The sequence below is a fragment of the Homo sapiens genome, chromosome 14 (genome assembly GCF_000001405.40).
Source record: "Homo sapiens chromosome 14, GRCh38.p14 Primary Assembly".
In the NCBI taxonomy this organism is placed as follows: Eukaryota; Metazoa; Chordata; class Mammalia; order Primates; family Hominidae; genus Homo; species Homo sapiens.
Genome location: NC_000014.9, coordinates 81,434,702 through 81,458,568, shown reverse-complemented (window position 1 = coordinate 81,458,568; position 23,867 = coordinate 81,434,702). Strand labels below are relative to the sequence as shown.

The 23,867-nt window shown below is 44.3% G+C and overlaps 1 protein-coding gene and 1 long non-coding RNA gene across 9 annotated transcripts in view, besides 1 other annotated feature; both read left to right on the top strand.

The window, feature by feature from the left end:
- Window positions 8,115-9,089: an enhancer, noted in NCBI's record as "H3K27ac-H3K4me1 hESC enhancer chr14:81915824-81916798 (GRCh37/hg19 assembly coordinates)". NCBI's record gives its function as "activates a minimal SCP1, AML or CMV promoter by ChIP-STARR-seq in primed H9 embryonic stem cells {active_cell/tissue: H9 hESC(primed)}" and the evidence as "EXISTENCE:reporter gene assay evidence [ECO:0000049][PMID:30033119]".
- On the top strand, window positions 8,412-16,582 carry LINC02308 (long intergenic non-protein coding RNA 2308). Its single transcript, NR_109999.1, has 3 exons — window positions 8,412-8,680; window positions 16,127-16,284; window positions 16,373-16,582. It is a non-coding gene; the product is annotated as a long intergenic non-protein coding RNA 2308 (long non-coding RNA).
- Window positions 16,583-22,103: 5,521 nt separating this feature from the next.
- Window positions 22,104-23,867, top strand: part of STON2 (stonin 2) — a 175,814-nt gene continuing 174,050 nt past the window's right edge. For 6 of the 8 annotated variants that reach the window (XM_024449736.2, NM_001366850.2, NM_001366849.2 and 3 more), the window contains exon 1: window positions 22,104-22,248. The gene's annotated coding sequence lies outside the window, so the exon portion shown is untranslated. Of the gene's footprint in view, window positions 22,249-22,390; window positions 22,950-23,867 lie in introns of those variants that run through there. The other 2 variants (XM_024449735.2, XM_047431813.1) reach the window with 1 other exon arrangement.

Below are 23,867 nucleotides of genomic sequence, written 5' to 3'. Positions count from 1 at the left end.
CTGTACCCCCTTGACAGTGGTGACTGGGCTAGGGTAGTGTTTCTCAATTTTTTTTTTTTAAGACAGAGTTTTGCCCTGTCGCCCAGGCTGGAGTGTGCAGTGGCGTGATTTCCGCCCACAGCAACCTCTACCTCCCGAGTTCAACCAAGTCTTCTGCCCCGTTCAGCCTCCTGAGTAGCTGAGACTACAGGCATGCACCATCACGCCTGGCTAATTTATATTTACATATATATATTATAAAATATATAATTATATAATATATATTATTAAATTATATATAATTTATATAATATATATTATATAATTATATATAATATTATCTATTATATAAATTATATATAATATTATATAAATTATATATAATATAATTATATATATTATATTATAATATAACATATATTTTTATATATGTTATATATAAATATTATATAACATATAATATAACATATATAATTATAATATAACATATATTATATATAAATTATATATAATATAACATATATTATATATAAATTATATATAATATAACATATATTATATATAAATTATATATAATATAACATATATTATATATAAATTATATATAATATAACATATATTATATATAAATTATATATAATATAACATATATTATATATAAATTATATATAATATAACATATATTATATATAAATTATATATAATATAACATATATTATATATAAATTATATATAATATAACATATATTATATATAAATTATATATAATATATAATTGTTGTTGTTGTTGTTTTGAGACAGAGTCTAGCTCTCTCGCCCAGGCTGCAGTGCAATGGCGCAATCTCAGGTCACTGCAACCTCCGCCTCCTGGGTTCAAGCGATTCCCCTGCCTCAGCCTCCTGAGTAGCTGGGATTATAGGCATGCGCCACCATGCCCAGCTAATTTTTGTATTTTTAGTAGAGACGGGGTTTCACATGTTGATCAGGCTAGTTTCGATCTCCTGACCTCGTGATCCACCCCCCTCGGCCTCCCAAAGAGCTGGGAGTACAGGCGTGAGCCAGCACGCCCGACCTAATTTTTTTATATTTTTAGTAGATACGGGTTTTTGCCATGTTCGCCAGGCTGGTCTTGAACTCCTGACCTTGAGTGATCCACCCACCTCGGCCTCCCAAAGTGCTGGGATTACAGGTGTGAGCCACCGTGCCCGGCCATCAACAGTGTTTTTATTGTTGGCAACCCAAGGAACCATTTTAGATATTTTTTTCTTTGCTCTCTACCCCCTCAAGAAATTATAATGCCATAGATACATCTATTTGTGTGCTCTATGTATATTTGTGTGCTGTATGCGTATCTGTGCATTATAAAGGAAAACAGAAATTTCTTTGCCCCTGCCAAGAACCCATTTTCACTCCTTTGCAGGTGATACGGCCCCTGTTTGGCATGCGCAGTGTGAGGGTATTGTGGCACTGTTTGTAATAGCAAAAGATTAGCAATAACTTAAATGTCCATCAAAAGGACTGGTTAAATAAATTATGCTATAATACATCCAAGGAATATGACACTATGTAGCCACAAAAAGGAATGAAGAGTCTTTCTGCGTAGTGATATGATAAAAGCTCCAAAATATAGTTAGTGAAATATAGTCTGTCTGTGTAGTGATATGATAAAAGCTCCAAAATATAGTTAGTGAAAAATGCAAGGAGCACAATGCTTATAATGGTACCCTTTTTGTAAAAATGAAAAGAAAGAATAGCTACGTGTATTTGCATATGCCTAAATTATCACAGAAAAAAATACATGTAAAACATATATTTTTTGACATTGGTGTGCTTAGAGGGAAGAAAACTGGATGCCAATAGGACCATATACCCTGAACCATGTAATTGTGTTACCTATTCCGACTTTAAATTAAAAGTGGGAAATCTAATTTTAAAGTTACACTTATGCCTTTGCTTTTTTTTTTTTTTTTTTAAGATAGCGTTTCACTCTTGTTGCTCAGGCTGGAGTGCAGTGACGTGATCTTGACTCACTGCAATTTCTGCCTCCCGGGTTCAAGCGATTCTCCTGCCTCAGCCTCCTGAGTAGCTGGAATTACAGGCACCTGCCACCACGCCCGGCTAATTTTTTGTATTTTTAATAGAGACGGGGTTTCACCACGTTGGCCAGGCTGGTCTCGAACTCCTGACCTCAGGTGATCTGCCCACCTCGACCTCCCAAAGTGCTGGGATTACAGGTGTGAACCACCACACCCAGCCAGTGCATCTTCTTAAAACGTTAGTAGCTGGCTGCAGTGGCTCATGCCTGAATCCCAGCACTTGGGGAAGCTGAGGTGGGTGGGTCATTTGAGCCCAGGAGATCAAGACCAGCCTGGGCAACATGGCAAAACCCCATCTCTACAAAAAGTACAAAAATTAGCCGGCTGTGGTGGTGCACACCTATAGTCCCAGCTACTCAGTAGGCTGAGGCAGGAGGATTACTTTAACCCAGGAGGCGGAAGTTATAGTGAACCACAATGGCGTACTGCACTTCAGCCTGGGCAACAGAGCAAGACCCTGTCTCAAAAAAAAAAAAAAATAGTGATAACAAAATTACTGTGTTCCCCCTTGATATCACCAATTGAAGGATTCTCTCATTAGTTGAATTTAGAAACCTGATAGAATATATTATTTTGCCTACAGTTGTAAAATCTTGGAGTAAGGTTTTATCACCTTGGGGTTTTTCATAATACCTGCCCAACTGGAAGAAAACTACACTGAGCTCAAAAATGGAACTTCCTGGACTCCTCATTTTCATTTCTCTGCTCAAACACACACTTAATTCCCATATAGCCACGTGTCGATTATCCACCCTGTGGTTTATTTCATTTTTCACAACTGTCACAGTAACTTTGTCCTTGAGCAAAGAGTCACTGCCTGATGTGGTGAATATTTTGAGGCCAAAAATTTCCCCCAAATATTCCTGCCATTAATGACTCATTTTCTAGGCATAGAGAATCATAAGCCAACAAGGAGCTCTTTACACATTCAATTTCCTGAATCCTTCCCCTTTTTGTCATTAAGGTTGTCACTCAATTAGATGACACACTACAGTCCACTGAAGCTTCAGTTAAGCTCTCATCTGGACTCAGTCATCGGTTGCCATCAACAAGTATGAAGTGAGTGCTGATTACAAATTCATGGACTCCACGCGGGCATTAATCTTCATAGTAGTGCATGATTTAGTCCAAAGCCCCTGCGAGAGCTTTTTGGTGATGATTAACTCCTATATAATCATGGGGTAGAAAAAAAAAACCATGAGGGATCCCTGACATTCTTTTCACAGAGTCTAGAAACACTGTAAATACAGCAGCATGTCCACAGCTGTTAGCCATCAGCAATGGTGACATTGTTGTGTTGGGATTGTTGTTCTATCACCTTGAATTCATCAATATTTGAATTTTTAATATTTGAAAATAGGATTCTCAAGAATAACTCAGTGCTACCACCCTGACTCGGGTGGATGAACTCAGACCTCCCTCTAGGCTGTGTGGTCCAGCCAAGAGCGGAGAGACACTCTGGGGATCTGTGGGTAAAGAAGAGGATGTGGCCCTTCCTGTTTAGGTATGGAGGTTAGTGGGGGTTGTGGTGGGTCAGGAGCCCAGGGCTGATTAAAAGGGAGGCCACAGTGTAGGGGTCATGGGGGTCAGAGCAGCAGCAGCAGACCCTCTAAGAGGCTCTCTGGAGTGGAGAAACCAGTTCCCCAAGTGGGTCTTCTACAACCACCGTTAATGGCCAAAGGTCTACAGTGCAACACCAGGCTCCAGCAACAGAAGGCTGGAATTCTAGTCTTCCGGCTTGAACAGGTGCCAGCGTAAAGCTGTTTCACTTGCTTCATAAAGCTCTCTCTTCATAGCTCTTGCTGGTACCCAAACCCTTAGAGATGATCAAATTGTTGCATAAGATTTATAAAAGACAATTTTTATTGAATTAATTGGTTGTCATTTTGCCCCCTAGAGAAAAATAGCTAGTTGTACACTTAGCAAATGGAAGTCTTCCATTTCTCTGATGCTTGTGAAAACGTGTGTAAATTTCCAAACTGAAGCAGAATTAAGTAAAAATGTGAAATGCCATCTGTCAGATTGATTCTAGATGCAATGATAAAGAAATTTATCATTAAGGTATGGGGTAGGTCCCAGAATCACACAAAGAAAAGCTGAATATGCAGACAGGGCTGATTATTTAATTGAAATTATTATCCCCGCTGATGGAGAAGAGGCAGCACTTCTTGTAAGAGGCAGCAGTTCTATTCAAGATTCAAATCTCTAGGCCCACCCCTTAGCCAGGAAGGGCAGGGCACTTGATTGGCAGCCTCACAAAAGCTGTGTGGATTGTGGGAGGAAAAGAGAATCCAGGTGCTACAGCCCAAAGAAAAAGAAAGAGACTGTCCGGGCGTGGTGGCTCACACCTGTATTCCCAGCACTTTGGGAGGCCAAGGCGGGTGGATCACTTGAGGTCAGGAATTCCAGACCAACCTGACCAACATGGTGAAACCCCGTCTCCACTAAAAATACAAAAATTAGCTGTGTGTGGTGGCGGGCGCCTGTAGAACCAGCTGTTCGGGAACCTGAGGCTGGAGAATCCCTTGAACCCGGGAGCCGGAGGTTGCAGAGAGCAGAGATCACGCCGTTGCACTCCAGGCTGGGCGACAGCAAGACTCCATCTCAAAAAAAGGTGAGGGGGGGACCCTGAGCAGGCAAAAGCCATAGATATCCATTATTAATACCAAATTCATTTTGTGCTCGTATATCATTTTACTCAGGCAATCAACAACATTTATTTAATGTCGTTGATCATCATTTAAGAACCCAGAATGTGCAGGGCCTTAAACTAGGGGTTCGAGTCTTTCCTTTGATCAGCTGACAATCTAGCTGGAGAACAGGCACATTAACACACGTAGTAGAAACTGAGCTATAACCATGTACAGCTGAACATACTTACCCAAAAAATGATATAACTGAAGCAGAACCTGCAGCTAGGATCTCTTTGTGACTGTCCCTCTGACAGTCTGAGATGGGAGAATGTATTGCAGTGGTTCCAGTATTTGCCATATATTAGGTCCTTTTTGAAAAAAAAAATTGAAGGACATTCATGTAATGTCCTATTTTTATGTATTCAGGTAATGAACTAGGAAAGCCACAAACCCATTTGCCTGCCCCTTGTAATAATTCTGACTTCCACCAGGGGACCTCAGCGCGTGTGTTTTTAACCACAAGTCTGCGGAATGGGACACCGTTCAGAATAGTTTGACAATGTGACTTGTAATCATTCACTTAATTTGTTTACAGCTCTCCGTGCATCACTAATGTAAGGATAGACTTTGAATGACTGTCTTGGAGACATCTATGGGATAAAAGAGAAGCATGGGCTCTGGAATCTGAAGATTCTATTCCATTTCTGCCTCTGTGTTGTGGCTGTGTGATGCTGGCAAATTACAGACCTCAAGTTGAAATAATGAGCATCATAATTACCCATGCCCTGCCTTCCTTAAACTGCCCCCATCCCCAAACTTCTACGAGGGCTCACAAAGAAGCTGCTTCACTCACCCAGTCGCTGCCCTGCATCCCTGTCCAGAACTCTGCCTGCACCCTGCCCCACCCTCCCAACTCTCTCCTGCCACGTCTGCAGCTCTGCAGGCAGAGAGGGATAATTCCAAACCGCAGCAATGGACAGGGACTCCGGGCAGCAACTCAAGGGCACAGTAACAATAATGGATGTTAAGTGCTTATTCGGGGACAAGTAGATCGTAGCTGCTCCATGATTTATTCCTGTCCCCTATGAATATTCTCCAAGTAAAATAAAAGGTTTAGATCTGCGCTACCGCATACAACAGTTACTTGTCCCATGTGGCTGGTGCCAGTGAGGCATGCTCTAAGTGTAAAACCCACACAGTCTCCAAAGACTTCACAGGAAAAGCAGATGGACAATATTGTTTTAGTCCACGCAGGCTGCTATAACAAAGTACCACAAACTGGGTAGCTTATAAACAACAGAAATTTATTTCTCACAGTTCTAGAGGCTGGAAAGTCCAAGATCAGGGCCCCTAGCAGATTCTGTGCCTGACAAGGGCCCACTTTCTGTTTCACAGATGGCACCTTTTCTTTCTATCCTTACATGGTAGAAGGGGTGAGGGAGTCTCTCTCAGTCCTCTTTTTTTTTTTTTTTGAATCAGAGTCTCGCTCTGTTATCCAGGCAGGAGTGCAGTGGTGAGTGGTGTGATCATGGCTCATTGCAATCTCCGCCTCCCTGATTCAAGCAGCCATTCTCCCACCTCGGCCTCCTGAGCTCAAGTGATTCTCCTGCCTCAGACTCTTGAGTAGCTGGGATTACAGGTACACACCACTAGGCCCGGCTAATTTTTGTATTTTTAGTAGAGATGGGGTTTCACCATGTTGGCCAGGCTGGTCTCAAACTCCTGACCTCAGGTGATCCGCCCACCTCGGCCTCCCAAAGTGCTGCTATTACAGGTGTGAGCCACCACACCTGGCCTCAGGCCTCTTTTTAAAAAAAATTATTTATGTATTTATTTATTTTCATAGAGATGTAGTTTTGCTATGTTGCCCCGGCTGATCTCCAACTGCTGGCCTCAAGTGATCCTCCTGCCTTAGCCTCCTGAGTGCTAGGATTACAGGCCTTTCCTATAAGGGCTCTAACCCCATTCTGAGGGCCCCACCCTCATGACCTAATCACCTCCCAAAGGCCCCACTTTCTAACACCATCACTTTGGAGGTTAGGATTTCAACATATAAATTTTGAGGAGAAACAAACATTCAGACCATAGCAAGTACTTTCATTAATACTTTTTGTTTGATTATATGTTCAGATCATAATAGATTTGATATATTAGGTTAAGTAAAAATATATTATTAAAATTAATGTAGCTACTGAAAGTTTCAAATTATATGTATAACGTACATTATATTTCTATAGGAGGACAGTATTGGTCTTTACACAGATTTTAAGGTTCTGTCCTGCTATGAGGTTCCATGATTCAAATACGAGCAGTCTTAGAGGGGAAAAGAAGTTCCAGGCAAGCCTTGCACTTAGCCATCCAATCCTAGGGAATTATCCTACAGAAACACACATGGGGATCTGCACGATGCGTGTATGTTTGTAGTATTGTTTGTAGCATGAAGAAAAAGGCTGAAAACAAACTAAATGTTCAACAGAAAGGAACTGGTTAATAAATGATAGTACATCCATGGGACATGTACAGGCATTAAAAAGGCAAGATATTTCCCGTAAGAATCACCTGAGACACTTATTAAAAATATCAATATAGGCCAGGTATGGTGGCTCATGCTTGTAATCCCAGCACTTTGGGAGGCCAAGCTCAGAGGATCACTTAAAGCCAGGAGTCTGAAACCAGCCTGGGCAACATAGCAAGACCCTGTCTCTACAAAAAAATTAAAAACAGCCAGGTGTGGTGGCACATGCCTGTAGTTTCAGCTACATGGGAAGCTGAGGTGGGAGAATCACTTGAGCCCGGGAGATTGAGGCTGCAGTGAGCTACGATTGTGCCCTTGAACTCCAGCCTTGGGAACAGAACAAGACCCTGTTTCTCTCTCTCTCTCTCTCTCTCTGTCTCTCTCTCTCTCTCCACACACACACACAAAGACTTCCCCAGGTGCCTCCCTGAGAAATTCTCATTCAGCAGGTTTGAAGTGAGACCTGTCAATCTCAATGTTTAAAAAGCACCCCTGAGAGATTCTGATTTCCAGACAAGTTTCCAGACACTAAAACAATTGGTAAGTATATATAACTGCATGGAAAAAATATGCAAGATAGTGTTTGGACTTATATTCTATGATGCATTTTTGTTTATAAAACAGGATTGCATATGTATGTTTGTGTGTAGAAATACACACACTGATGTATAGAAAAGATTTGGAAGGACATAAGCCCAGCTGCTATAGGTGATTACCTCTTGGAAACGGGAAAAAAGAAATGGGCTTTGCATTTTTACTTGCATACTTCAATGTTTGTTTGTTTATGCATCACTTACAGGAGGGGGACAAGAACCCCCTCGTGATTTCATCAGTTCCCAAGTGTTTGGGGAGGGTGAGCAATGGAGGAAGCCAGGGGTGAGGCAGTCAGCTGCGCTCACAGCCATGGCGTCACACCCCAGGGACTGCCCATTGTGAAGTCCCTTGGGGTGCCCCCTCCCTGCACTCTCATTCTTCCCACTAGCCCCAGACGGGCTCTGCCATCAACCTGCAGCTCCTCCTGAGCTGCGGCTCTTCCCGCTCTGCCCCCAACACAAGGAGAGCCCCGACTTGGGAGGAGGGCTTTTCAGATCGCAGCTTGGCCTGAGGCAGAGCCAGAGCGATGAGGTCACCCAGCACAGCTGCTAACTATTTCAAGGAAACAGGTGGTGGCTCTGGCCTTTTCATGGGCTTGGAGTTTTCTGGGAGAGGCCTCTTCAAGGGCGTCCTTGAAGCCCAGCCATGGATGTCCCTGTGGTTGGGAAAGGGGAGCTCAGGGTAATGGAGTATCCTCAAGAACCTGCAGATATTACCTCCCTCCAGAACCGTGGTCTCAGCCCTGGCTGCATATTCCTTCAACGGGAGGGCTTTAGAAATGCTGTGCCAGAGCTGCACCCCAGACCAACAAAATCAGACTCTCCAGGATGCGGCCAAGGCATCAGTATGTGGAAAGCTTTCAGGTGAGTCCAATGTGCAACCAAGGTTGAGACCACCGGTCCAACCCTTGCAACTAAAGGCCCTGGACCAGCAGCATTCCCTGGAAGCTCGTTAGAAATGCAGAATCTCAGAATCTGCATTCCAAGATCTCCAGGAGATTTGTGTGCAAAGAGCTTGGAAACGCTGCTGCTACAGGTAGACGTGGAGCTAGAGGATAAACACGTAGGCTCTGGGGAGTGCAAAAGGGGTGAAATGCCATCTAAGCCCTTGACTTCTCCCCCTTGATGTAATGAAGATAACAAAATCTTCATCTTGGATTGTGGTGATGATTCAGCTTGACGATGTCTGTACCTGGTACTTAGCACTCAGTATATATGAGCTTCTATTTTGTTAGGATCGTTACTGTTTTTAATCCTGAAATGCAACCTGCTCAGTTGGCCAGCCTGCTATGAGCATGTGCTGGCTGTGTTTTTTGTCCAGCTCAGCCCTCGTCCTGCCAGCATCAAATGTCTTTTCTCTCTGGGAACTCAGACACAGGGACCAGAAAGTTCATGGCTCAATCCAGACTGTCTCCGATCCCAGAGTTGTTTTTCCTGTGAAAATCATGTGATTGCTCCATCGCTAGGGAAAGTCAAACAATAAAAGGGTGTAGGTTCTCGTAATTGCTGTGGAAGCTGCAAATGTGGAGTGTTTCTGTGCCAGCTGGAGAGGAGAAGGATTTGGGAAGGAGGGTTCCAAATCCTGCCTCCCAGACTTATTGGTTGTGGTTCAACTCTGGACTGAGAGTCTGAGGAGGTGGCCCCGTGAAGATTGGAGAATCAATCACTGATCTGCGACAAACAGTGCATAGCATCAAGCAATTCTGTGCTTTCAAGGATAGCAGTCTCCCTCAACAATAGCACTTTCTTTAAAAGCCCTCTTCATTCATTTAAAAAAACATTAATTAAGCATTCCCTAAGTGCCAGGCATTGCACTATTATCTCATTTCATCATCAAAGTTACACTTTGGGGCCGGTATTACTCTCATTTTACAGGCAAGAAAACAGGCTCAGAGATGTTTGGTTCTAGGGTTAAACAGCCATTGGATAACAGAATTGGAATCATACAGAGGTTGCCCTGAGTCCACAGTCCCCCTCTGGGTCACCCTATGCTACTACTTCTCCCCAATCCAGGAAAACATGGTGTTGGAGGATGGAGCCCCTTTTAGTGAAAGACTGGGCTGTTTGTTATTCTTTGTGTTTTTCCCTCCTACTGTTGAGACTGGCACCATCTCCTCAAGTCACTCTGCCAATCCCTTCATTCTCTGAGAGGGAGGACATTAGTCCACTATGAACTACAGTGTTGCATTCGCAAACTGCAAGAATTGAAAATAATGTCTCTTACTTTCTTTCACGTTTCCATTCGAGAAACATTTATTGAACATGTCAAGAATTACACAGAGAAGTAAAAAGGAGCCATGGGTCTTGCTTGGGGGACAAGAGTGTGATAGAATGAGTCCTGGCCTCTGGGAGAGTGGACAATATGTGATAGTTTTATGGGTCTAAAAGGAGGGATTTCAGGCAAAGGGAACAACGCAAGCAAAGGTACAAAGACAGAGAGTATATCTTTGTGCCTACCTTTTTTTTCTTTTTTTTTTTAATCACTAAAATGCAGGTTTCCTGAAATAAAAGCCAATTGGAATTATTTTTATTTTTATTTTATTTCATTTCATTGCATTGCATTCCATTTTATTTTTTTTTTTGAGACAGAATTTTGCTCTTGTTGCCCAGGCTGGAGGGCTATGGCATGATTTTGGCTCACTGCAATCTCTGCCTCCCAGGTTCAAGCAATTCTCCTGCCTCAGCCTCCCAAGTAGCTGGGATTACAGGCATGCGCTACCATGCCCGGCTCATTTTGTATTTTTAGTAGAGATGGGGTTTTACCATGTTGGTCATGCTGGTCTGGAACTCCTGACCTCAGGTGATCCACCTGCCTCAGCCTCTCAAAGTGCTGGGATTACAGGTGTGAGCCACCACGCCCAGCCCACCGATTGGAATTTTTAAGAGCAAAGTTTGTTTTGAATTTTAAATGAATTCAAAATAATAAAATTCATAGCATCCAATAATTCCTAACACTATGACCCAGGCACTGTCCTAAACACTTGATGTACATTAACTCATTCAATCCTCATAAGAACCTATAAGGTGGGTGCTAATATCCCCATTTCAGAAATGAAGAAACCGAGGCACAGAGAGGCTAAGTAACTTGCCAAAGACCTGTTAAATGATTTAATGATTAAGTGAATGAGTCAGGATCCAAATCCAGGCCTCCTGGCTCCTGAGTCTGTAATGTTTCCCATCTGCTGTATTGCCTCTCCAATGCCAAGCAATCTAACATACCGCTGCAGCCTCTGGCAATCTCATTTTGGAAGTACTTTTTCATAACTCATTTCTAGTGCACAGCAGGGCTGTGGCCCAGGAGACCTGTGGCTGTCCTACAAATATCTGTGTAATAAAATAATAATAGCAGTTAATATTTGTTGAGTACCTGCTAATATTTATCAAGTTCCAGGCATACTTAATGCTCACCAAAACCCTCAGACATAGGTGGATTGTTCTCCCCACTTAGTAACTATGGAACTAGGGCTCAGAAACTGACCCAGGATGGCCCAGCTAGAAGCTGGCAGAGCTGAGTGAGCCATCCCAGGTCATCTGAAACCAGAGCTTCCCTTCCCAGCAGCACTCCCATGGGGCCTTTCTGTCACGGGAGGAGTTTAACTTTCCTCTTTTCTGGTTTTCTTGTCTGTCAAATGGGAATAAAATAACTAATATCTGTGTGTAACACTGTAGATTACAGAGGATTCTCTGGTGCACAATCTCATTTGAATCTCCCAGCAACCCTATCAAGAACAACACCCCTTCCAACGAGCTCGAGAGATCTTTAGAGATCTTTAGGTTCTAACCACTGCATTCCCAGAGGATGTTCTCTGGTTGTTGGCTAAACCCCTGCCTTCCATACACTGCCACTGGTGGAGACAATAGAACAAACAGGAAGAGCAGTCTCGGGCCATCCACAATGGCTCACACCTGTAATCCCAGTGCTCTGGGAGGCTGACACAGGAGGATCACTGAAGGCCAGGACTTGGAGACCAGCCTGGGCAACATAGTGAGACCCTGTCTCTACAAATAAATTAAAAAGTAGCCAGATGTGGTGACACACACTTATAATCCCAGCTACTCAAAGGGGTTGAGGCGGGAGGATCGCTTGAGCCCAGCATTCGAGATTGCAGTGAGCTATGACGGCACTACTGCACTCTAGCCCAGGAAACAGAATGAGACCCTGTCTCTTTAAAAAAAAAAAAAAAAAAGAGTAATTTCATTCATGCAAGGAATGTGTATCCCTTTCCACAAAGATTAAGACTGACCAACAAGAGAATTATCTCACCCCATTGATCAGAAGTGAGAGGGTACATGGACCAGAAGGGCTTATTGGCATTGTGGGGTGATGGCCTGGAAAGCCCTGGACGGAAATAGGTATGACTGTCCCTAGGGAACTGGTGGGGCGCCCACGGGGTAGAGGGTAACTGCCCTGGGTCCCAGCACAGGGTAAAGGATGTCTCCCCCAACCCAGCTGCCCTCAGGTCCAGAGGTGGCCTTGCATTTGAAATATAGCCAGTTAAAACAAGGGCATGGGCCCACACATGCAGCTCACACGGAAGGTTAGCAGGGAACAGAGAACTATCAATAGTTCAGAGCCTCGAACTCATCCTGTGTGTGATGTGAGTGAGAATCACTCCAAATCAGCACCCCAGCACGATTCTGGCAGCTCAATCTTGTGCGATCTAACAAAAGAAATAATTCACAGGCCAGTGAGGCAATCCACACTCCAGGCAGTCCTCCTGGATGAAGAATCCATCCACAAGATACCAAAAAGATCCCATAGATATGAATCCAAGAGCTTCTCGGGGTCTCTGGTCAACTCCACGAGTGATAGTGGGTGAAGAGTGCTCCGAGGTGAAAAAATGGGAACAGAAGTGAGGACGTTGCATTTGGGTCTTGATCCAGGCTCAGGGTCACCCACCCAGATAGCACTGTCAGCCCCAGCTGGTGTCACAAAGCGTAGAACCCCTGAGGCCTGGATCCTGGGCCAGGCCTCCATTTGTTTGGTTTAAGGGCAGCATTGCCAGTAATACACCTACTTTTTATTCCTGAGGCTGGAAAAGTCAGATACTAAACTAGTTTTCCCGTCTCTCTTGCAACTAGGCATGGCCATGTGATTCAGTCCTAGCCACTGAGATATAAGTGAGAATTTACCAGGTTGGGAGGAGGTGTTTTAGAAAGATTTTCCTCCCTGATATTAAAAAAAAAGCCTCTTTTCCAGCCCAGATCACTTTCTTCTTTCCTTAAATAAGCTTTCTAAAGATGAGATACCTGGAGCTGTGGCAGCCATTTTGCAATCACAAGGCAACAAGCCAAAGATAAAGAGACAAAAAGCCTAGGATGAGAGAGTAGAAAGAGCCAGGGTCCTTTTGCCATTATTATTATTTTATTTTATTTTTATTTATTTGAGACGGGCTCTCGCTCTGTCACCCAGACTGGAGTGCAGTGGCATGATGTCTGCTCACTGCAACCTCCATCTTCCAGGTTCAAGTGATTCTCCCAAGTAGCTGGGATTACAGGTGCTTGTCACCATGCCCGGCTAATTTTTGTATTTTTAGTAGAGACAGGTTTCACCATGGTGGCCAGGCTGGTCTCAAACTCCTGACCTCGAGTGATCCACCTGCCTCAGCCTCCCAAAGTTTTGGGATTACAGGCGTGAGCCACCACACCTGGCCCCTTTTGCCATTATTAAACAAGATACTCTGGGACTTCTAATGTCCAGACTGTTCAGGTCAGGTAATGAAATTTCTTTACTCTGTGAGTTACTATAGCTGGTTATTCTGATACTTGCAGCTGGAAAGCATTCCTACAAAATATAGGCTAAAATCATCAAAGTCCAGCTCAAGGGTGGGCTAAGTGCTGGGTCCTATGGGAGATGCTCAACAACATCTCAAAAATTGGAAGAATCTCTTCTCTAAAAAAGTTTCCAGTCTAGACATGAGACAAATGTGCAAACAGATGTGACTTCTGTGTCATGCTAGTAACACCTGAGAGGGTACAAAGGTTCAATCAATTTCCTAAAAGAATTCAATCTTATTTAGCTAACTATGATCACAGATGTAAATTCATGGGTGGTGGAAGACATTATTTATTTTTTATGAAGCTGTCTTTTAATTCAGAGAGATTCGGTGACAGGTGGAACTCCCAGGGTTTCTTTTCTCTCAGATCTCCCTTTTTCTCTGACCCTCCCTTCCATGTGCTCGTCAGTTTCTGCCCTCATCTCCAGGTGCTGCCTCTGTCCTGGTGGTTGCTATTTGTGGGATCATGGTCATGAGCCTCTACATTTCTAATTCCGTCCTGGAAGGGCAGGAGAGAAGAACTCCTTGTGGTTGGTAGATCCTTGAGGTCCTTTTAAAGATTAAGCTTAGTTTAAAAAAAATATTCACAGTGGAGCAGCTAATAATAGTTAAACAAAACTTTTTCTTGGTACATATTGACTTCTTTGAAAGCGTAATGTTAATGGGTTGTTAACCTGCTTCCCATCAGTGTGTTTAATGAAATACTCAAATCCTGCTTCCCATCAGTGTGTTTAATGAAATACTCAAAATAGGTGACAGGGACAGCACACACTATTCCCCACACAAAAATGTCAAGATCGCGAAGACAGTTGCTAAAAAGGGGGTCTGGTGTAACAAAATGCAGGATGGCATAAGAGAAGGGGCACCTTTGTGAGACTGGGGGAGTCAGGGAAGCCTTCACAAAGGAGTAGCATTTGTTGGGACCTCAAGGACAATTAGGAATGTATTAGGACACTTGGGTGCAAGTGACAGAAACTCAACTCAAACTAGTTTAAGAAAAAGAGACTTAATTGTAAGGAAAATGGAATTGCTTTCACAAAATAAAAGGAAAAGCTGAATGACCTAAAGGAAGGAAGGGCAAGGAAATAGCGGGTCTTCAGCACAAGTGTATTAGAGCAGTGGTCCCCAACCTTTTTGGCACCAGGGACTGGTTTCTTGGAAAACAATTTTTTCCATGGTAGCAGGGGTGGGGGAAAGGGGGGTGGTTTCAGGATGAAACTGTTCATCTCAGATCATCAGGCATTAGACTCTCATAAGGAACACACAACCTAGATCCCTCGCATGCACAGTTCACAATAGGGGTAGCCCTCCTATGAGAATCTAAACCACTGATCTGACAGGAGGTGGAGCTCAGGCAATAATTCTCACTCACCTGCTGCTCACCTCCTGCTGAGTGGCCCAGTTCCTAACAGGCCATGGACCAGTACTTGTCTGTGGCCTGGGGGTTAGAGACCCCTGGAGTAGACAATGTCTACTTTACTTGCCTCAGTTTCTCTCTGCATCTTAAAACAGAGAAAGAATAACTCCAATGTGCTGTTCTTGGTATGAAATTCTCAGGAAATCTGATCGGTTCACCTTGGTTGGGTTGCCCACATGTAGGACAATCAGCTGTGGTCAGGAATATGAAGTCACATGAGAACTTATCAGTTCCTGCTAAAATCATGTGCTTGGAGACAGTGGAGGAGGATCCCCCAGAAGAAAGGGGCAGGTGTTTCCATAGGAATGCTGTTATACTGTAGTTATTGTTGGTGGTGTGCATATGGTATTGGGCAGATAAATACAAATAAGCAGAGAAGAGAAATGGAAGATGATAAGGATGACTAGTTGATGAATAGCACACTGGGTAAAGGGAAGAGTATGTTCAAAGGCACAGAAACGTGATGGTATTGGTACGTTCTGGGAACTAGAAATAGATCATCATTGGTGGAATGGGAAGTTAAAGAGGAGGATGACAGAAGTTAAAGATGGAGAAGTAGGCTAAGGCTAATTAAGGAGGATCTTGTATCTCATCATAAGGAACTAAGATTTTTCCCATAAGTAATAAAGAGCCATTGAAGGAATTTTAATAGGAGAGAGAAATGATGATATTTATGTATTAGATCATTCCAATCGCTATGAGAGGGGGGGGATCAGAGCAATGTTTACAAGTGTGGTACCCACGACAAACTGATTTTACTTGGTGCAAGAGCTGGTTCTAAGTGGTATGCAAAAGGGAAATTGAATTTCATTGGCTCATATAGTGAGAGAGTTATTCTCTTTAAAATTCTCTTTTAGTCTGTTTGATTAACTTGAGGAGAAATGATCCATTTGGTGCCTGTATGTGTTTCATGTCTCTCCAAGGCTTGGTAACCTCCCTTTTCATCAAAGAAAGAGCAGGGCCTCAAACTCAGAACCTTCAGCAACCAACAATATCCAGCCAAGATTAAATAGTGTAGTTTTGTTTTTATTGTATGATTTTTATGGTTAATGATCTCTTTATGGCAAATGACACTGGTTTTTCATTGATGATAATGATATCAAAAATCCTTTCTAGGAAAACTGAGCAAAATGAAAGCCAATTCAAAGAAGAAGGAATTAAGTACATAATTGTGCAGATGATACATGGAAATGGTAAGAATGGTGACAATGGGACGTAAGTGACTGAAATTTGGGATACATTGGATTAGAAGAAAATAAGCCCCCAAGAAACCGGTAAGAAGGATATTGCAACAGCACGAGAGATTTTAAACTCCTTGATATCAGAAAGACTTATCTTCTATTAATTTTGTTTTCCTCTCAGGAATAAGTCTGGAGGGCAGCAAGAGTGACTGTCCAGCTAAGAACCTCATCAGCAATACAAAACATTGTCACAGATGTTGAAACAGACCCTGAGGTTAATGCATTCTTTCCAACATTAGGTCCTAAAACTTCTCCTGAAAAGCTACCTTAAATCTAACTTTTGAAAGTGCACAATAAAGGTGAATTAAATAAAAGCAACTTGAAATTTTTACTTATCCTTCAAATTCCTCAAATATCACTTCCTCTGAGAAGCCTTCCCTGATTTTTCTGTGTCTCCTTGGCAGCTCCTTGCCCTGCGCTTTCAGCGAAGCTTCCTACACATCTAAGCAGAGCTGTGGTAGAATGGTTTCTTTGTGTGCCTCCTCATCAGGCTCTAAGTTGTCCAGTGACTCTGTCTTTCATCCTTTATATCCACACCCGTTGAGACTGTTCTGGCACAAAATACGTATGAGTCCAATAAATATTTGTGCAACAAATGAATCTTGCAGTGAGGACACCACATTATAGAAGAACAATTGGAAAGTCATTACATTCCATCTGGGCGGGGTGGCTCATGCCTGTAATCCCAGCACTTTGGGAGGCCCAGGCAGGCGGATCACGAGGTCAGGAGATCGAGACCATCCTGGCTAACACAGTCAAACCCCTTCTCTACTAAAAATACAAAAAATTAGCCTGGTGTGGTGGCGGGCGCCTGTAGTCCCAGCTACTTGGGGGGCTGATGCAGGAGAATGGTGTGAACCTGGGAGGTAGAGGTTGCAGTGAGCTGAGATTGCGCCATTGCACTCCAGCCTGGGCAACAGAGCGAGACTCCGTCTCAAAGAAAAAACAAAACAAAAAAACAAAAAAATTACATTCCATGTTATTGATTTCAAGTACAGTAAAAGTTCAAAGATGGAAAAGATCAATATGAATAGAGGATGTATTGGAGGAGTTAGGATGTTACGGAGCTTGAGCTGGAAACAGGAAATCTAAATAAAGATTCTTCAATACCACTTCAGCATCTTACTAGCAAGATTTCCTACTTGGAAGTGTGTGTGTGTGTGTGTCTGAGTGTTGGAGTGTGTGTCTGTGTGTGTCTGAGAGTGGGGTGTTGGAGGGAAGGAGGGAAAGGGCCGGGTCTTTGTAATGAATTTCTCTTGTACCTTTTTCCTCTCACCTTTCTCAAGACCAACCCTTTAGAATTTGGCTGTCATTGTCTACAATCCTTCCTGTTCCTAGCATGTTCCAAAAAATGCCTGGCCCACAAACATGTGTGGGGTGGAAGAAGTACTTTGCCATAAAGACAAAACTAAACCCTCTCTTATGGACTGAAGTTTATTAAGAGTTTATAGAGAGGAGAAGAGTGGGAGCTGTGAGATCTTATGAAGGGTTTCTAGTGGATACAGGGTTGATCTGGGTGTGAGACATAAAGACACAGATTTACCCACACCCATGACCACCAGTATTCTTCCAAACTGCCGACTAAAATGGCGCTAGTCCTCCAAGCCAGCAAGAGCTGCACTGCTGTATTGGTAGCCTCTAACCACATGTGGCTATTTAAATTTCAACACAATTTAAAATTCAGTTCTTCAAATTGCACTAATCACATTTCAAGTGTCCAATAGCCACACATGCCTAGTGGCTTCCATATTAAATAGCTCAGATAAAGAACATTTCCATCATCTCAGAACATTCAGTTGAAAAACGCAGATCTAAAGAGTACATCTTCTCTGGGATGCTGAAGGTGGGAGCCACATTTAACTGCTTTTCACAGGCTTGGAAAAGTTCCTTTTCACTTTTAGCTACTATACCGTAGGATTTAACCAACACGTCCATTACTGATGGTTTCCACACTTTCAGAATGTATGTATTCTCAGAGAGCATGCAGTGAATTTTCTTTAACAATTCAGTGGTTTTTAGCACATTCACAAAGTTGTATAACCATAACCACTAATTACAGAACATTTTCATCACCCCAAAAAGAAAGTTCATAGCCATTAAGCAGTCACTCCTCATTTCCCCTTGGCAACCACTAATCTGCTTTCTGTCTCTGTGGATTTGCCTATTCTGAATATTTCATGTAAATAGAATCATACAGTGTGTGGCCTTTTGTTTCGGGCTTCTTTCACATAGCATGATGTTTTCTAGAGTTATCCATATTTTGGCTTTTATCAGTACTTCATTTATTTTATGCCTGAATAATATTCCATTATGTGGATATACAGTAAGTTCTCACTTATTGTCATTGATAGGTTCTTGAAACGGCAACCTTTAAGCAAAACAATGTATAAAAACCCCCAATTTTCCCATAAGGGAATTGACATAAACAAGAATAAAGTTCCTCCAGCACATTTCTGGTCACAAAAACATCACCAAACTGCTAAATAAAGAGCAAAAATCCTTCTAATATTAAATTTGGAAATAAATGTGAGCTATATGTACACTTTTAAAAGATTAATAAAAACAAGTAAGATAATTATTTGCCCCATTACTCCAGTTCAAGGTCTCAGGTGATTGGAGCCCATCTGGCTGCTCAGCACGCCAACAGGGAACCAGTCCCAAACAGGACATCATTCCATCGCAAGCCTCTCTCTCTCTCTCTCTCTCAGACACACACACACACACACACACACACACACACACACACACACACATCACTCTCATTCTGGGACAATTTAGACATGCCAATGAACCTAATGTGCACATCTTTGGAATGCAAAAGGAAACTGGAGTACCTGGAGAAAACCCATGCAGATGTGGGGAGAACATGCAAACTTTCAGCTGGGAGTTGATCTTTTTTTTCTCATCAACATCCTAATGAAACAACGTTATTGGAGGACCTTCTGTGCTATTTAATACATTTTGTTTATCTATCATTAATCGACGGGCGTTTGGGTGGTTTCTACCTTCAGCTATTATGAATAATGATGCTACGAACATTTGTGCACAAGTTTTTGTGTAGGCATATGCTTTCAGTTCTCTTGGGTGTATATCAAGGAATGGAATTACTGGGTCATATGGTAACTCTATGTTTAACTTTTTGAGAAATAGCAAAACTGTCTTGTAAATTAACTGCACCACTTCACCTTGTGTTCATTTAAAGAAGAGCTTATTCTTCTCTTGGCCTGACAGTGCTTGACACACAGAAACTACCTATTATTGTTGGATTGGATGGATGATCGCTTTGCTCCACACCAAATATCCTTCCAGTCTGGAACTGAAGAATGCCCTGTTGAAGACCACGATAGGGTGTGGCCCTAGTCTCCTTAATACCACCCTATTAGCCTGTCAGGGGTTTTCATCAGTCACTTCATGTTTATTAAGTACCTACTTAATTGGGGATACACTGATTGAGGATACATCGCTAAGTAATGCACAGTGTGCTAGTTAGAAAGATGGCCATTTGAGCAGATCACTAGAATGCTGTTGCTTATTGATGTTATGGGAATATAAGACCGGCAAGAGGTTCACAGCTTAGCCTGGGAGAATGAGTGAAGGCTTCACAGAGGAAAGAATATTTGAGTTTTGAGCACTAAGCAGTAGTCACCAGGGAAGAAATGCGATACAGGGGGCGAACTAAATAAAGCATTTTGCTAGAGACAGAGAACAGACCAAGACATAAGCAGTTCCTGGCCTCAGTAAGATTCCAAGGTAATGGAAGTAGAATTCAGGTTCTTCTTTCACTTGTCACTCTTCCTTCATTTGCCATCCTTTCACTTGTCATCCCTGGGCTGAGTTTAATGTGATGTGATGAGGGTTGAGCAGTTTGACAAACCATCTTGGGTCAGCTTGGTTCTCTGGCTGAAACAGTCCTTCTTCTTTGGAGTGATAGTTTGACCAATCCAAATGGAACTTCTGCTTTGGCAGAAGCCACAGCTATGGAAAGCCAGCAACCTGAATTATGGGCTGATGTCTCCATGTGCTTCCGATGCTTGGAGAGGGATGCCCATGAAAGAACTCTCCTCACACAGTCCACACCACCCCGTGCTCTGTCTGGTGTTCCTCCCAGGTGAGGTTCAACCCATGCGTGTCCACCTATTCAATATAAAGTGAATCAACTGAGGCCCGGCGCGGTGGCTTACGCCTGTAATCCCAGCACTTTGGGAGGCCGGGGCGGGCCGATCACTTGAGGCCAGGAGTTTGAGACAGCCTGGCCAACATGGTGAAACCCCGTCTCTACTAAAAATACAAAAATTAGCCGGGCGTGGTGGCACGTGCCTGTAATCCCAGCTACTCAGGAGGCTGAGGCATGAGAATAGCTTGAACCCGGGAGGCAGAGGTTGCAGAGAGCCAAGATCGTGCCACTGCACTCCAGCCTGGGCGACAGAGCGAGACTCCGGCTAAAAAAAAAAAAAAAAAAAAAAAATTGAAGTGAATCAAGTGTTTGTCCATTGATATAAACTGGAGAAAACAGAGGTAATTTCCTCTTGGGGTCTTGGGCTCCTCAAAGTAAATGACTGTAAGCTCACCCTAAGGTAAGGGTCAACACTGTTCAGAGTGGGTGAAACTGTTAAAGCCTTGAGTCTTTACTTCTCTCCTAAGCCAAATTTCTTGCTCAAGGCGTTCTGTCAACATAGGAGAATAAACAAGGGGGAAATGTCTGTAGAAAAATGTCTACATACTTGCTTTCAAGGTAGTGCCACCAAGCCAAAGGTCCTACAATGTAAGTTGTGTTACTTACTTCTACTCATTTCCTATCTGGGTGTTTAGAGAGGGTGTTTTATGAGTAGCAGAACAAAGGTCTGGTGGCACCCAGATTTATGTTTTGTTTTCATTCCTTAGAAAGATTCAGGGCAGGTGGGAGAAGAGACGGAGGACAGAGCAATTTCAATTCCCTATACGCCCTCGGTTCTAACCAGTGCCTCTCCTCCACAGTGTGGAGTGACTGCTGGTGTGTCTTTCAATGAAAATCTCTCCAGACTAAAAACTGGTGTCACTTGTCCACATGTTCACGGGGCATATGGATGTTCTTATGACAGCCTCTGTATTTCTGAATTAATAAATGTAAAGCGTTTGGAATAGTGCCTAGTAAATAATATGCACCATAAAAACGTTAGGGTCATTATCATTATCCAGCCTCATCTCTCTAGCTAGGTATGAACTTCCCTGTAATTGAAGATCTCACCATTTTTATCTTTTTTCCCCCTAAACACCTAGCACGGTGTTTTTAATAATTTGTTGGCGTGATTAAGACCTTAAACAAGTTGCTCTCCCTTTGAGAGCTCAGGTAGGACCACTGAGAGGTTGTGTGTAGAGTCCGATATGAGTCCACAGAACTATTTGGCGCCCGCTGTTTACAAGCCACTGTCCTGAGCCTACGCCCTTTGTAGAGTCAAAAGTATCAATAAATGAACGTACAGGAGTGAGGCTGGTTGAGCAATGATTCCCGCTCCTAGGAGGTCTCAACTACCAGCCCGCAGGCGGAGCGGGTGGGACTCCCATGCGCTCCCCATTCCACGCCATTTCCATGTCGCTCGAATCGATGCTTTCCGTGTTGCCTCGTGCCTGGACGGCCGGCCCCACTAGGCGCAGAGGGGAAGAATCCCAGCTTCGGGGTCTGGTTGGGGCCCCGGGAGCCGCGGGAAAGCGAGTCTGCGGCGCGGGAAGCTTGGCCAGCAGATCCCGGCGGCGCCCGGCCAGTCCCCCCGCCCCGGCTCCCCGGCTGCCCAATCATGGCGCGGCTCGGGAGCGCGCCGCGGCCAATCAGGAGCGGCGGGAGCGGCGCCGGGAGCCGGCGGGCGCAGAGCGAGCTCGAGTCTGGAGCCGGCGTCGGCGCTGCGGCCGGGAGGGATCGTGGCGAGAGCAGTGCGGCCGGGTGGGTATCCCGCGGCCAGAGAAGCCGGCTTTGCCGCGGCGACCTTTCGGCGGACGCCGGGGACCCTGCGGACCGCGGCGCAGGTAACTGCACCCACGCCCCGCAGCAGGAGGCGAGCGCGCCCCCCAAGAGGGGCCCCGCAGGTGGAGCGGGCGGGGGGCGGGGGCGGGGGCGGGGGCGGGCCGGCCGCGAGGTCCTAGCGCCGCTGTGCCCCCTGGCGCCCCCGAGCCTGCCTGGTCGAGCCACGCGGAGGCGCGGCGTTTCCACCAGCCGCGGGCGTCCCGGGGTGGGGGAGGACGAGGGGACTCTGCTTAAGGCAGGTAGGGGTGGAGGAGGACTCCTGCGACACCTGGCCCCATACACAGACACTTCTGGCCGACGGGTGTCTTCGAGATTGGGACGCCCAGGATGTCTTCATCGGCCCGAGTGGGGAGGCGACAACAGGTGTCCCTGGGGACGGTGCTTCCCCTACACTCCCCTCGCCTGAAACCCCGGGTTGGCGCCGCGCCCCGCCTTCGGGGTGTCGGGAGGCAGGACCCCAGCTTGGCCTCAGGCGCTCTGCCCGCTGGACAGCGCCCAGAGGCGGCCTGGACGTGGGGCTTGGATGGAGTTTTCTCTGCGCGTTGCCAAGCAATTTGCCTGACACCCGCCTCTCGCTGGGATGAAGAGTTGAAGATGAGAGTGCGTGTGTGCGCGCGCGTGTGCGTGTGTGTGCATTCGTGCGTGTGTGTGCGCGTCCGTGTGTTCTGGTGCAACCCCTACTGGAAGGAGCTGCCTGAGGGCTGTGAGTGAATCATTAACTGTGCTTTTGTGCAGCTCCTGGTCTCTGCCTGCCTCCCCGCCTCTCCCGACGCTCCCCGTTTCCCCCTTGAGCAGGTCCTTCTTACTCTCTGTGCCTCCCTCTCCTGATCTGTAAGGTGGCGATAATGATTGCACCGGTCTGATAGCGTTGTTTTGAGGATTATATGAGCCAATGCCTGAAAAACACCCAGCACAGCGCTAAGCACTCAATAAATACCGGCTCTTATTATTTATTATACGGAGTGGATGGGCTTTTAAAGAGTAAATCAGACGTGTCCAAACTGGCCTAGCAACCATTTGCAGCTCTGAACAGCTTTCTACACTTGAAAGGAAAAAAATGCTATTATTAATGAGACCGATGGTATCTTTAAAGGTAGCATGTCCTTTTGGGGGGCGGTAAAAAACCGATCCATTGGAATGGTGAGAGAGATAAATGCATTCCAACTAGTAACTGAGAAAAGCTTTGTGACCTTTGAAAAAATTGGTATGAATATTGTGTGAAAATAATATCATGGTACTTTGTTAAGTGTTCACCTTTCAGTAGCATGGCTGATTTGGGGGAAGTATTTGAAAGTTTTATACTTTTTACTCCTCCCTTAAACGAAAAGGTAAAATTAAAAAGAGAGGGAGGGAGAAAGAGAGAGAGAGAAAAAAAACTCAACCACACAGCAAAAATGCCAGTGGCTCATAGAAACCTAAAATTGCAGTTGCTACTTTTAGGTGTTTTTTTTCCTATGCCTGACCTGGGTGGTCTGGTTTAATTCTTTGTCACTGTGTCACTTTCTTTTCTTGGTTAATCTGAAAAGTCAATAATTGGCCCGTTTTATTTTTCTTTTTAAAACTTAAAATATCGACATGTAGCGGACCTGCTTGGAGTTCTGAACCCCCTGCTCAATTGCCT